This window comes from Homo sapiens, chromosome 16, assembly GCF_000001405.40.
Source record: "Homo sapiens chromosome 16, GRCh38.p14 Primary Assembly".
Taxonomy (NCBI): Eukaryota; Metazoa; Chordata; class Mammalia; order Primates; family Hominidae; genus Homo; species Homo sapiens.
Window position 1 is genome coordinate 11,106,785 of NC_000016.10, and position 14,847 is coordinate 11,121,631.

A 14,847-nucleotide genomic window follows, 5' to 3' on the forward strand; every position below is an offset into this window, starting at 1 on the left:
GCTATAAAATTATTTTATTACCCCCCGCCTATAGATGAGACAACTGAAGCAAAGTCACATGCCCAGGGTCACCACAGCTGGAAGGTGGCAGAGTTACCACTCAACTCCAGGCACTTGGCCCAGGCCCGGCTTGGGACTGTTGCCCTGCACAGCTTCCCCTGCATTCAGACCTGTGCTTCTTGGTGGGGAAGTGGAGCTGGAATGTGTTAGGAGAACACAAGAGTTTTCTTAACAGTGCTCTGCCGGTTACTCTTGGTGGTGTGGGCAGAGGGGTGTGGAGAGGCGGCAGAGGCCCGGACATCAGTGTGGCACCTGTAGTGGGACGCCCAGTGAACAGCTCAAACCTTAAAACCAAGCAGTAGGTCCCAGTTTCCCCGGGTAACTGAATTTCAACAAATACCCCATTATCTACATACCTCATTGCTGGTTTCCTTTACAAATCCCAGAAATGCCACCAGTACATTTTTTTTTTTCCTCTTCATGTTAGAGGGTGCGGCTTATAGGCCTGGCAGTAGAAAGGTGCCAAGACCCACTCTCTGTCCAGGAAATATCACACTTCACAACTGCCCCCTTTTCATGCTGGGAAGGAATGCTTTAGGGAGCCACAAAGAAGAAAAAGTAATTGATTGCTACTTGCAGCAAATAACCCATAAGCTGTTGCTGGGTTGATGGAGAAATGGTTACTTAATTTTCTTCAAAGGATTGATTTGACTGTCAGGAGAAGCAGCCAACCTAATTGAGTGTGCTAGTTCACACCCTCGGTGGGAACAGTCTCAGCCCTTCTTTTGTCTTGAAAGTGTCCTGGATTATGAAGTCCCCCACCGGAGTGAGTCGAGGCTCAGGAAGGTCCAGGTGTCCTACCATGCTGTTCTGCCTCTTTCAGGTGATCTGTAGAATTTACCAGGGCCCAGTTCCTTGTCACTCCAGCTCTGCTGGGCTTACACTGGAATCAGCACTGGCTTCCTTTTCAAAGCACTCAAGTTAGCTCCCAAGGAAACGTGATTTGTTTATGCCCCAGAATGGCTGCTGTTTTCAGTTTTCAGTGGATTCTGACAGGGTGGTGACCTGGGAGAGATGCATTGCACTGTCCTCCTGGGCTGTTGATTGACCCCTCGGACCACTTAGGCTTCCTCTCCCCTCCACCCCGCACTGAGCCGTGACTCACCAGGTACTCCCCAGCAGTGCAGTATGGTGGCCAAGGCCCCTCCTGCAGCTGCATTCTGTCATCAGGGAGGCATGCGAGGCTGATTTTCCCTCAAGTCACCAATGTAATTCTGTGCCACAAAGAACCGTCTCCATCCCACAGAGGCTGATTCCCCAAGTGTCCAGCAGCTTGGAAGGGTAGCCATCCTTCTGCTGGTCTGAAGCACCATGAGGGCAGGCTGCTGACTGGTCTTGCTAACTGATGGATTCTAGCATCTGAAAAGAGCCCAAGGGGCGGACACCCAGCTTCAGTCTCTCCTGCATGCCAGGAAGAGAAACTCTCAAGGGTAGAAGAGAGACAGCATTTCCTAAGCCAAAGAAGGAACTAGGTCTCCTGCTCGAAGGGGCCACCAAGTGCCCTGTGAAAGGGGGACCTTGCCAAGGCAGTCCAGGAGCATGGAGGTGGCTTCAGATCCTTGGCCACCAGGGAGTTAAACCCTCAGGGCTTGCCTGTTGAGAGCTCACATCATTTGACTGTCTCCTTGCCAGAACCAGCCAACATCTCCCACCCACCCTCTGCAGCTAGCCCAGGTAGAGGGGGCACCAGGCTGTGAGGCAGATGAGTGCTCTCTCTGGCCTCAGCCAGGGGACTGGAATGCCAGGTTTTGATCAGCTTGTTCAGGAGAGTGTGAAGTTCACATGGCCATCTGGCTGCATCCCTCAGCCACATATGTCACTCATCAGTTTGTGTCATTGGGGAAGTCACTTGTCCTGCTGCAGTTTGTGGCCACCTCATAGGATCTGGGACCATGTCAAGTGGAAAGTTGGGGCTTGGCATATAAAAGCACTTTATAAAGGTTGGTCTTGGTGCCAGCAGCCATTGTCATTGATGAAACTACTGGGCCGGGCGCGGTGGCTCATGCCTGTAATCCCAGCACTTTGGGAGGCCGAGGCGGGCGGATCACGAGGTCAGGAGATCGAGACCATCCTGGCTAACATGGTGAAACCCCATCTCTACTAAAAATACAAACAAATTAGCCAGGCGTGGTGGCGGGCGCCTGTAGTCCCAGTTACTCGGGAGGCTGAGGCAGGAGAATGGCATGAACCCGGGAGGCGGAGCTTGCAGTGAGCTGAGATCGCGCCACTGCACTCCAGCCTGGGCGACAGAGTGAGACTGTCTCAAAAAAAAAAAAAAAAAAAAAAAAACTGGGAGCAGGGGCCTTGATTCAAAACAGCCCTGACTTTTTTTTTTTTATTAGATGGAGTCTCACTCTGTCACCCAGGCAGTGGTGCAGTGGTGCGATCATGACCCAGTGCAACCTGGAACTCCAGGCTCAAGCTATCCTCCCACCTCAGCCTGGGACCACAGGTGTGCACCACCACACCCAGCTAATTTTTTTATTATTTGTAAAGACGAGGTCTTGCTATGTTGCCCAGTCTGGTCTTGAGCTCCTGGGCTCAAGTAATCCTCCCGCCTTGGCCTCCCAAAGTAATGGGATTACAGGTATGAGCCACCTCACTCAGCCCTGATAATCTTTCAGTACATGGCTTTAGAGAACCAAAGCCTGGAATGGTGCTGCATCCCCAACTCCGGTGAAAGCCAGCAATGCTCAGTGTTTTTTGCCCTCCCTGCACCACCCACAGGCCACTGCAGTTCCCCCTCACTAATCCCTGGTACCAGCGCAGACTCGGGAATAGAAACAAGTCAGGCTGGATGGGTGTGTGGAGGGGCCAAGACCACAGCCCCTCCCTCACACGTGCAGCCACGGGCCCTCCAGGTGTCCTATCAGCTGTGGGCCCTGCTCTTGGAATTCCAGGGTGAGCCTGCCTTTCCCTCAAGGGATCAGTGTTCCCTGTTCCTCAGCCCCTCCTGACCTCTGATTAACCACACGTGCTTGAAAGATTTGCTAATGTTTACTGAACTGCTAATTTAAACTCCAGCCGTAGCCTAAAACAGGCTGTTGGATTTCAAAGCCTTGGAATTCTGCTGGCCTGGATATCCCCCTGTAAGGAAAAAGACTTGCATTCTAAATGCAGCTGGAGCCACCAATGCTAAGAATTAAATTATGGATTGGCATCCGTATTTTATTGTGAAGGGATTATTAAAATACAGCAAAAGTCAGTCAGCCCCATTTATCGCTCAGTAATGGGCTACAGCCTGTCAGAGGGGGCTGTAGGGGAAGGCTTCAGCCCAGGAGCTAAAAGAACAGTTGATTGAGCAGTCCCTGGCCTCCAAGTGGGAGCACCAAAAGACATTAGCTTCCTTCCATCCCATCCACAAATACTTCTTCAGCACCAGCCATTGCCCAGACCCCCTCCAGAGGGTACAGCAGCTAGTGATACTGGTCAGGACCCCTTGTTTTGGGAGCTTACAGTCTGGACAGGGATGCTTCAACACAGTCAAGAATGACAGGCACTGGGATGGGGCTGGGGATTAGGGAAATGTAGAGAGGGACTGGGGGAGCAGCCAGGGATGAGGGGTCAGGGGAGGCCTCACTGCAGAGCCCGGGGGGCCTGTGTATCTTGCATATTCCATGACCTTACGGGAATTCTGAAAAACAACCGAAAACCATGATTCATTTTCTCCCTCTGAAGAGACTCATTTAGTCAAGAGTTTGCATTCAGAAAACATGAGTACCTTAGGCAGAAGGGTTCCAACGAGAGAGTCATGGCTCCAGAAATGTCATGGCACTTCCGAGCAATTTGACTTGTGCTGGGAGAACACTAGGACCACTTCTGACAATGACCACCATAGCTTGCCTCTGTGATGCATGCTGGGCACAGCCCCATGCCCCTCCCAGATACCCTGGGCAGTCCTGCAGGTGGTTAAGTGTTCTTCTTATAAGGCAGAAACCTGAGACTCAGAAAAGGGAGGTGATCGGCCCAGGGTCACACAGTTTAATAACTGGCAGAGCTGGGCTTTAAACCCAGTCTGCACAGTGCTAAAGCTCAAGTTGCCGTGATACTGCTCTTCATGGTAACAGCATGCTTTTTCTTTCATGCTTTTTCCTTTTCTCCTCTTCCTTCCCAGCATCTTAAAGTTGTGTTGGGAAATGGTTGTGCTAGTTTCCCTTCATTCTGCTAAATACTTGCAGGATCTTCCAAGGTCCCCAAAACAGCCAATCCTGAGTTGTTTCTCTAGGCCAGTCTTCTGAGATGCAGCATGTAGCTTCTTGGTGGTACTGAAAGAATTTTAGAATTTTAGATGTGCCTGGATGTAGCACTAAATTAAATTACCATCACAATTATCTATTGCTGAGTAACCAACCACATATATTAACTTCATGGCTTAAAACAACTATGGGAATTCATTTTGCTAGCAAATGTATAATTTGCCCAGGGCTCAATGGGAATAACTCTGCTCCACATGGCATCAGCTGGCGTGTATAGACTGGGAGCTGGCTGTGGGCCTGGACCTTGGTTTCTCTCTGTGGGTGTCTCCATGGCTACTTGGGCTTCCTCACAACATGGTGGATAGGTTCCAAGAGCATTTTTATGACTTTGCCTCAGAAATCACAAAGCATCACTTCCATTGGTACTCTTTTGGTCTAGACAATCACTGAGGCCCACTCAGGTTCAAGGAGAAGGGTAGACCCCACCACTTGATGGGAGGAGAGTCAAAGTCACACTATGAGAAGAACATGTAGGTAAGAAATATTGCTGTGGCCATCTTTGGAAAGTATAGTCCGTAAGAAAATCCATTTCAGTGCCCCTCTAGTCTGTGCTGTTACACCAAGGAGAAGGTCTCAGATTCAGACTAGTTTGTCGTAGAAACTCTGTAACTCAGATTTCCTCTTTTTATCAAAAGAGCAGGCATTAGGCTGTAATTTAATAAATGGTCTTTTCTCCTCTAATCAGTTTTCATGTTTACCTTAATGATTGTAAGTAATTCTGTTTTTCCATTCATGGTAATGATATGAAGTTTCCTTCTGAAATTTATTTTAATAGAATACAAATGTTTTAGAAAAATTAAGCATAAGCTCTCCTTTGCTGCTATAAATTTACTCTCGCATGTGCGTATGAATAAGAATGTTCCTTTGAATGTTGTAGCAAAAGCTTCTAAACACTCCGAATGTCTGCCAGTTGGAGAGCTGTTAAATGGTGTAGAGTTCTCCCTACCGTGGGAGAGAACGCAGCTATGAAAAATCACAAGGAGTGTCTCAGTGCCGATGTGCCATCAGGAAGTGTCAAAAGTACAATGTAGGCAGTGTGGGTGGCATGCCACCATTTAAGAAAGGAAATGGAGAGGAGAACATAGCCCCATGAGTGCTTGAAAATGCACAGTGGACAGGCAACAAGAGCCCGTGCAGTGGTTGCCTCTGCAGAGGGGCACAGGAGACACTTATTATCCACTGTAAAAAGGTTTTATACCTGTTAAAATGGGAACCTAGGAATGTGTTATCTAGTGAAAGTGGTTGATAAGTTTAATATTTTCAAATAAAATAGAATGGGTCAGGTGTGGTGGCTCACACCTATAATCCCAGCACTTTGGGAGGCCAAGGCAGGAGGACCACTTGATCCAGGAGTTTGAGACCAGGCTGGACAACATAGCAAGATCCTATCTCTACAAAAAAAAAAAAAAAAAAAAGATTACCCAGGAATGATGGCACACCTGTAGTCCTAGCTACTTAGAAGGCTGAGGCAGGAGGATCGCTTGGGTGCAAGAGTTTGAGGCTGCGGTAAGCAATGATTGCACCATTGCAGTCCAGCCTGGGTGACAGACCTATCTCAGTCAATACATACATACATACATACACACACACATACATATGACATGCAGCAAATTTTCTCCCCTCCCCAAAGAAAAATAAAAGGTAGTGCCTGGGAGTAGGAGGGCTATGTCACCTTTCCTTGGAACAAGGTTCCGCTAGGAGGCATGCCATACCTTCAGGGTCCTGGGTAAGATGGAGACATCTGCCATCCTACCTTTTGCCTGTGGGGCCTGGTTCCTCCCCAGAATGGAGGCTTGGTCTGCACAGCCTTTCATGGTCCTTAGCCTTCCACCTGGGCCCTGAACTCCTCTTGGTGGGGGCCAAGCCTCATTCTCAGTATAGGTACTTAGTGCCTAGTACAGAGCCTGGCCCCAGTAGGCACCAGACTGTGCACGTGCACATGTGAGCTGAACTGGACACCAGAGCTCTTGAACTCACAGGTGTGACTGTGAGAAGAACTCACACTTGGAAACATCCACAGCTATGTCCCAAGGGTGCTGTCAGAGAGCTCTTGGCTTCACGCCATCACCTGGTTCTCAGTGATTGTCTATCATCTGCATGATCAGGCAGAGCCCGGCTGGCCAGCAGCTTGGCCTAGTGCTGCTCCCCAACCCTGGCTGGGCCTCATAAAGACCTGAGTCCCTTTGTGTAAAGCTGTGGAAAGAGACTCACTTATTTCTTTATTCAATTTTAAGTGTGCAAATAACATACCTATTTTCCCTTTAGAAAATCAGAGCAGTGTGTAGAAACTAAAATCGGCCTGTAATTCCAGCACTTTGGGAGGCTGAGGTGGGAGGATCCCTTGAGCCAGCAGTTCGAGTCCAGCCTGGGCAACATGGCACAACCCCATCTCTACAAAAAATAAAGAATTAGCTGGGCATGGATGGTGCATGCCTTTAGTCCCAGTAACTTGGGAGCCTGAGGTGAGAGGATCACTCGAGCCTGTGAGGCCGAGGCTGCAGTAAGCCATGATCGCTCCCCTGTACTCCAGCCTGGGTGACAGAGTGAGACCCTGTCTCAAAGAAAAAAAACAGAAAGAAAAAGAAACTAAAATCACCTTGGAGCTTCTTTTTCTACTCATCGTATGTTCTTGAGACTTGGCTCTCTTGAACTCTCTGGAAGGCGAATTCATTCCATGTCATTGCTCCTTGGTGTTACACAGAAGGAATAAACACATTTTAGTTAGGCTTTCCCTTCTTGCTGGAAAATTGACTCTTCACAGTCTTTTAGCCCACGCGTGTGAGTGTTTTTCTTGGGAACATACCAATTGCTAGGTCATAGAATGTGAAACTTTCGGTTTTAATAAATAATGCTAATTTGTCCTTCAAAACGGCTATGCTAATTTATTCTCCCACTAGCAGCTTTTGAGAAATGCCAGTTTCTCTGCATCCTCATTATACCTGATGTTATCAGACATGTTTATTCTTGCCAATCCTATGGGCAGAAGATGGTATTTTGAGTTGTTTCCTGATTTCCCATGAGGATGGCCGTGTGTGTGTGTGTGTGTGTGTGTGTGTGTGTGTGTGTGTGTGTGTGTGTTTATTGGCAATCCCCATTCCTGGCTGCCCCCTTCCCCTCATCTGTGAATGGCCTATGCAAATCCTTCACGTTTACTACTGTATCTTTGGCCTCTTAAATCATAGGGATAATTGATCTGATCATTGTCTTCTGATAATTTTCTTAATAGAATCCTAAGCCCCACCCCTGTAGAATTGGAGATTCGATGGGCAGTGAGATCTGGGGATGGTGGATGGATGACCAGGCAGTCTCATGTCACCTGTCAGCTGCACTGGCCTCTCCTTGCCATGGCCACTCCTGAGTGTCAGGCAGGGAGGCTGCCACATACCACGACAGAGCCGTCTGCCACCAAGTCCTTCCCATGGTACCTTAGCACTCAGCATACTCCTGCTGGCTCCCAAATGCATGCATGAAGCCTGCAGGCAGAGGCTTTAGAGGGTGGGCCGAGTTGGATTCCATTCAGCATTTCTCTCCTGGATTTCTCCTCAACCCAAGACCCCATGGCAGTCCCAAGGTGACTAGCCTGTGTCCCCCAGGGCTCCACAGCCAGGGTGTGGAGCAGCCGAGGACTGGGGCAGGGTACAGGAGTTCCCTAAAATGATACTGGCGGGACCCACAAAGGAGTCACCCAAAACCCGCAATTCCTTGATCTCCCTTGCGGATAGCATTTGCTTGTAATCTGTAGAAGCCGCTTCATTTCTCCTTAACTGCCCCACAGCCTCTGAAAAGCGAGAGCTCCCTCCCTGGGATCCTTCCTGTCTCACTGGTGTGGCCGCATTTTAGTTTTCTTATGAAATCTCTCACTGTGTTCTCACAGGGCTTTGATGTCTCAATTACATTTCTGAAAGCTGTTCCGTTCTGGGGTTTTATCCTTCCTTTTTTGTTCTTTGTGGTGGAGGTGGCAGGTCTTTCTTCCGCTGAAGCCCCTCAGGCAGCCAGGCTCTATGAGGGAGTCGCACTGCCTGGGACAAACCCCATTGACACTGACGTGTATGACTGTGTCCGTTTTCCCAGATCAAACTCTCAGATGAACTTCTTTTGTGAATGTGAAAACAGAAGGTAGTCAAGTTGTCCTGTGTAGAGTGAGGAAAGGGAAAGGAGAGGAGGGGGAAGGAGGATAGAAAGAGAAAGAAAGGAAAGAACATGTTTATTGTTTTTGTTCTATTTTTAAAGAGTATTTTTTAAAAGATTCCCACTGAGAAAATGCTTTAAGTTTTGTTTGTTTGTTTTGAGACAGGGCTCATCACTCTGTCACCCAGACCGGAGTTCAGTGGTGTGATCACGGCTCTCTATAGCCTCAACCTCCCTGGGCTCAAGTGATCCTCCTGCCTCAGCCTCCTGAGTAGCTGGGACTACAGGCACATGCCACTACAGCCAGTTGATTTTTCTACTTTTAGTAGAGGTGAGGTTTTGCCATGTTGCACAGGCCGGTGTGGAACTCCTGGGCTCAAGCGATCCACCCATCTCAGTCTTCAAAAGTGTTGGGATTATAGGCATGAGCCACCACGCCCGGCCTGTTTTAAGTATTGAGTAAAGAAAACAAACCCTACCTACCACAAAGAAAATGTTTATAAGAATGAATATGATGACTTCCTTTTTTAATAATGTAGAAGACTAGTCATCTAGAGAATCATCCAGTATGGAACTAAAAATTCATCATAAGATAAACATACTATTGTACATTTTATGTTAATATAATATATTTCATAATATATTAAAACATATATATTATAAATTTTTTTAAAGACAAGGTCTCACTATGTTGCCCAGGATGAACTCTTGGGCTCAAGCAATCCTCCCACCTTGGCCTCCCATAGTGCTGAGATTACAGGCATGAGCCACCGTGCCCAGCCCTAAAATATGTTTTTTAAAAAATATTTTCAAATACCCGGCTGGACTGTTGGGAAAGGAAAGAAGGTTCTTGCTGTAGATAATAAGAAAGCACAACTGGGCCAGATGTGGTAGCTCATGCCTCTAATCCCAGCACTTTGGGAGGTCAAGGCAGGCGGATCACTTGAGGCCAGGAGTTTGAGACCAGCCTGGCCAACATGGTGAAACCCTGTCTCTACTAAAAATAAAAAAAAAAAAATAGCCAGGCGTGGTGGTGTTTGCCTATAATCCTAGCTATTAGGGAGGCTGAGGCAGGAGGATCACTTGAACCCAGGAGGCAGAGGTTGCAGTGAGCTGAGATTGTGCCACTGTACTCCAGCCTGTGCAACAGAGCAAGACTGTCTAAAAGAAAAAGAAAAGAAAAAAAAAGGTACAAATTCAGTAAAGCCTATCTGGAGCTGGGATTTGCTGTGGGGGTACCTGGCTGACTTCGGGGGTCATGTGCTGGAGAGAATAGAGGGAAACACGAGGCCTGTAAAGACCGAGAGGACCAACTGGGTGACATCCACATGAAACCAGAATCTCAGACAGGTTACACTGTCGGAGGATTGAACCGAGGCATATGTTGCTGGGGGTTACCCGAGAAAGGAAAGAGAAATTTACCTGTGCTTTTAGATCAGGATGAAAACTGAAAAAGGAGAGGGGGGAAATCCTTGGAGAATGCATGAGCCCAGTTTGTTATCGTGTGCTTTGGCCAAAATTGATACCACCCATGTTACCCTTCTCCTCCCCTAATAAAGTTGAGCCAAATATCTGGTTAATGTGCTCCCAACAGAACCTATTGGGGTGATGGAAGTATTCCACAACTGGGATGTGGTAATACATAGCCATAAATATACTAAAACTCAGCACTATTCAAAATAGTAGACTCATGGAGTCAACCCAGGTGCCCATCAATGGTGGACTGAATGAAGAAAATGTAGTACGTATACACTATGGAATACTGTGTACAGCCATAAAAAAGAACTAAGTCGTGTCCTTTGAAGCAACATGGATGCAGCTGGCAGCCTAAGTGAATTGATGTGGGAACAGAAAACCAAATACCGCATGTTCTTACTTATAAGTGGGAGCTCAACATTGGATACTCATGGACATAAAGATGGCAGCGATAGACACTGTGTACTGCCAAAGGCAGGGGGGTGACAGGGGTTGAAAAACTGTTGGGTACTATGCTCAAAAAAAGAAAAAAATTACTAAAACTCAAACCGTATACTTAAAATAGGTAAACTGTATACTTAAAATAGGTGAACTTTATGGCGTGTAAATTATACTTTAATAAAACTATGAAGAAACAACAAAACATCTCACCTACCCTCTTCTAATCAGAGGCTTCTGTTAATGTTTTGGCACATTTTCTCTGTACTAGTATTTCTTTGTAGGGATAGTTTTTTTTAAAACATACAAAACTCTTGGTAATAACATTTTTATCATCTTTCATTTAAAATTATAATGTTTTCCACAGTCATTGCAATTATTTGTAAAACATGATTTTTAACTTGGGCTTATTATATGTGTTCGAAAGTATGTCTTGAATACTTTTCTCATTTTAAAATAATGTCCCAGTAGAGTGGGACATAGAATAAAAATGAAAGTTCTCCCCTTAATACTTCTCCCACACACACACACTCCTACCCCCAATTCTCACTTCACTCCTCATGGGTAACCACTGTCCACAGTTCGGTTAAACAATTTTTAAATGGGTATATAATTTTGCATCTGGTGGGAAAAAATTGCACTCAAATAGTTCTCCTGTTTGGGGACATTTAGGTTGTTTCCGGACTGAGCTCTCTTGTTTAAAACATAAGTGGCAGAGGATTGCATACAGCGGTAGACCATAGATCTAATGGTCCTATGTTACCCTGGTGATTTCCAAGTCAAGGGTAGACATTAAATTAGACATTGAATTTGGGGATAACTTTCTTTTTCTTTTCTTTTCTTTTTTTTTAGACAGGGTCTCGCTTTTGTCACCTAGGCTACAGTGCAGTGGTACACTCATGGCTCACTGCAGCCTCTACCTCCTGGGCTCAAGCAGTCCTCCCGCATCAGCCTCCTAAGTAGCTGTGAGGCTAATTTTTTTTCTGCTTTTTGTAGAGACAGGGTCTCACTATGTTGCCCAGGCTGGTCTTGAACTCCTGGGCTCAAGCATTCCACCCACCTTGGCCTCCCAAACTGTTGGGATTACAGGCACAAACCACTGCACCCAGCTGGGGACAACTTTCAAGTAAGAGAAGGAACCTAGCATATGCAGAGGACTCCTATGCACAAGACCCCATGCTTTTCCCGCCTTTTCTCATTTAACGCACCAAACAATTCAAGATAAGGGACGTTAATTCTCATTTTACAAATGGGAAAACTGGTTCTGAAGGGCCAAGTGCTGTACACATCCAATGCCCATCCATGTACAACATCCACTGCAGGGCTTGGCTTTAAATTGTCATACCCTGAGTTGAGGGCTTGGTGATTCTGTCATGGCTCAGGGGACTCTTGCTTTACTGTCTTTACTTAATTAGGTGAACTCAGTTTAACCATCACAACTGTAAACTGCCATTAGTCTTTAAAGAAGCACTGAAATGTTACTGAGGTTCTTGGTTTAAGTAAGTTCCATTTGTCTATTTTTGGCTTTGTTGCCTGTGCTTTTGAGGTCTTAGTCATACATTCTTTGCATAGACCAATGTCCAGAGAGTTTTCCCCAGATTTTCTTCTAGGATTTTTATAGTTCTGGGTCTTACATTTAAGTCTTTAATCTATCTTGAGTTGGTTTTTGTATACAGTGAGAAAGAGGGGTCCAGTTTCATTCTTCTGCGTATGGCTGTCCGGTTTTCTCAGCACCATTTATTGAAGATGGTGTTCTTTCCCCAGCGTATGTTCTTATCAGTTTCATTGAAGATCACTTGACTGTAAATATGTGGCTTTATTTCTGGGCTCTCTATTCTGTTCTGTTGGTCCATGTGTTTTTCTTTTTGTTATTTTTTGAGACAAGGTCTTATTCTGTCACCCAGGCTGAAGTGCTGTGGTGCGATCTTGGCTCACTGCAACTTCGCCTCTCAGGTTCAAGCGATTCTCCACCTCAGCCTCCCGAGTAGCTGGGACTACAGGCACACACCACCACGCTCAGCTAATTTTTTTTATTTTTTGGTAGAGACAGTGTTTCACCATGTTGGCCAAGTTGGCCTTGTAAGTCGTGACGTCAAGTGATCTGCCCACCTCGGCCTCCCAGAGTGCTGGAATTACAGGCATGAGCCACAGCACCCAGCCTATATGTCTATTTTTATACCAGTACCATGCTGTGTTGGTTATTACAGCCTTGTAATTTGAAGTCAGGTAGTGTGATGCTTCCAGCTTTGCTCTTTTTTTGTTTGTTTTGAGACCAGGTCTCTGTCATCCAGGCTGGAGTGCAGTGGCATGATCATGGCTCATTGCAGCCTTGAACCACCCTGGGCTCAAGCCATCCTCCCACCTGAGCCTCCTGAGTGGCTGAGACTACAGGTGTGGGCCACCACACTCAACTAATTTTTTGCATTTTTTGTAGAGATGGGGTTTTGCCGTGTTGCCCAGGCTAGTCTCCAACTCCTGAGCTGAAGCGATCCTCCCTCCTCGGACTCCCAAAGTGCTGGAATTACAGGTGTGAGCCATCACACCTGGCCTAGCTTTGCTCTTTTTGCTCAGGTGTGCTCTGGCTCTTTGGGCTCTTTTTTGGTGCCATATGAATTTTAGGATTTTTTTTCTAATACTGTGAAAAATGATGTTGGTATTTTGATAGGAATTGCATTGAATGTGTAGCTCGCCTTGGGTAGCATGGTCACTTTAACGATATCATTTCTTCTGATCCATGAGCGTTGGATGTTTCTCCATTTGTTTGTGTCATCTTCAGTTTCTTTCTTGGATTGCTGATTGTTTTGTTGTTTTGTTTTGTGTTGTGTTGTTTTGTTTTGTTTTGTTTGAGACGGAGTTTTGCTCTTATTGCCCAGGTTGGAGTGCAGAGCGCGATCTTGGCTCACTGCAACCTCCACCTCCCAGATACAAGCAATTCTCCTGCCTCAGCCTCCCAAGTAGCTGGGATTACAGGTGCCCACCACCACACCCAGCTAATCTTTTGTAGTTTTAGTAGAGACAGGATTTCACCATGTTGGCCAGTCTGGTCTCGAACTCTTCACCCCAGGTGATCCACCTGCCTTGGCCTCCCAAAGTGCTGGGATTGCAGGCGTGAGCCACGGCACCCAGCCATGCTGGTTGTTTTTAAGCTACGGCTTGAGCACCTAACATGCAGTAAACATTGGACAGATGCTTTATGTACTTTATATGCTTTATATCAGTCCTAACTAGTAGCAGTTTGAGGGAGTGTGCATTCTCTTTATTATCCAGATGAGGGATCTGAGGTCCAGAGAGGAAAAGAAACTTTCCCGGCATAACTGTCAGAGAAGGGACTCAGACCTAGGTCTGTGTGACTCTAGGCCTGGGCTCTAACCACTGAGCTCTGCTCCTGATAGAATGAGAGTCAGCTTTGGTGTCTCCATCACCCTGGGCAGCCAGACTGTGCCTCATTCTCTTCTCACCTTCCTCCTCCCAGATAACAGCGACTTGATTGCATGTACAGTGATCACCAAGGATGGCGGCATGGTCCAGCGATTCCTGGCTGTGGATATTTACCAGATGAGTTTGGTGGAGCCTGATGTGTCCAGGCTTGGCTGGGGAGTGGTCAAGTTTGCAGGCCTATTGCAGGTAAGATGGCCAGGAGCTCTGGGATCTGTTCTCAGTTGGCTACAAACACACACACACACACACACACACACACCACACACAATTGTCATCTTTATCATTAATTTGTAGTGATATTATACAAGGTATATGTGAACAAATTGTCACCCAAAAAAAAGCTAAAATACCACATAAATGCACAGATAAGAGCAAAGTCCTCTTTGACCAAAACGCTCGATTCTTACACCTCCCCTCCACCAGAGATAATCTTCATTATCAGTGTGACCTTTCCAGATCTGTTTTTCTGCCAAAGGCATATATAAATGTAACTACATGTACTATTTTTAAAAATTATATACATATACTTGAGAGTGTATGTGTGTGTTTTTTATGATATCACATTGAATATGTTCTAAACTTTGCTTTTGTCATTCAATATCAATAGTGTGTCTTGGAGAGCCAGCCACATTAGTACACGCAGACTTCCTGGTATTCTTTTTCACTGCTTTGTGACTATAGCAAGGCATACTTAACCCATGCCGTGTCGGCTATTTCCAGTTTTCTGCTATTTCAGCAGACGGTGCTGCCATGAACAGAATCACTCTTACTTCTTTATGCACTTGGGCAAGGTTTCCCTAGGCAGATACCAAGAAGCTGGGGTGTACTAATTTTAAGTGTTAGTAGACACTGCCAAATACCACTCTAAAATGATTGTTGCCACTGGCATTTTTGTGAATTCCCTTCCGCTCAACGTCACCCCAGCAGAGCTAGGCTCTAACTTGCCAAGTACCAAGCTGGGGCTTGGGTTTTGGGGATTTTTTGGGTTTTTTTTTGTTTTTAATGTTTGCCAACGTGGGCCAGACGTGGTGGCTCGTGTCTGTAATCCCAG

The 14,847-nt window shown here is 46.3% G+C and overlaps 1 protein-coding gene across 37 annotated transcripts in view, besides 2 other annotated features; it reads left to right on the forward strand.

Annotated features, from left to right (window-relative positions):
* Window positions 1–14,847, forward strand: part of CLEC16A (C-type lectin domain containing 16A) — a 237,623-nt gene that overhangs the window by 162,221 nt on the left and 60,555 nt on the right. For all 37 annotated transcript variants that reach the window (NM_015226.3, XM_005255214.3, XM_011522434.3 and 34 more), the window contains one exon: window positions 13,831–13,982. In NM_015226.3, the coding sequence (NP_056041.1) occupies window positions 13,831–13,982 (152 nt within the window). The remainder of the gene's footprint in view (window positions 1–13,830; window positions 13,983–14,847) is intronic.
* Window positions 6,248–6,542: a silencer, noted in NCBI's record as "tiled region #12604; K562 Repressive DNase matched - State 5:Enh". NCBI's record gives its function as "weakly represses a minimal TATA promoter and a strong SV40 promoter by Sharpr-MPRA in K562 cells {active_cell/tissue: K562}" and the evidence as "EXISTENCE:reporter gene assay evidence [ECO:0000049][PMID:27701403]".
* Window positions 6,248–6,542: an enhancer, noted in NCBI's record as "tiled region #12604; HepG2 Activating non-DNase unmatched - State 10:DNaseD". NCBI's record gives its function as "activates a minimal TATA promoter and a strong SV40 promoter by Sharpr-MPRA in HepG2 cells {active_cell/tissue: HepG2}" and the evidence as "EXISTENCE:reporter gene assay evidence [ECO:0000049][PMID:27701403]".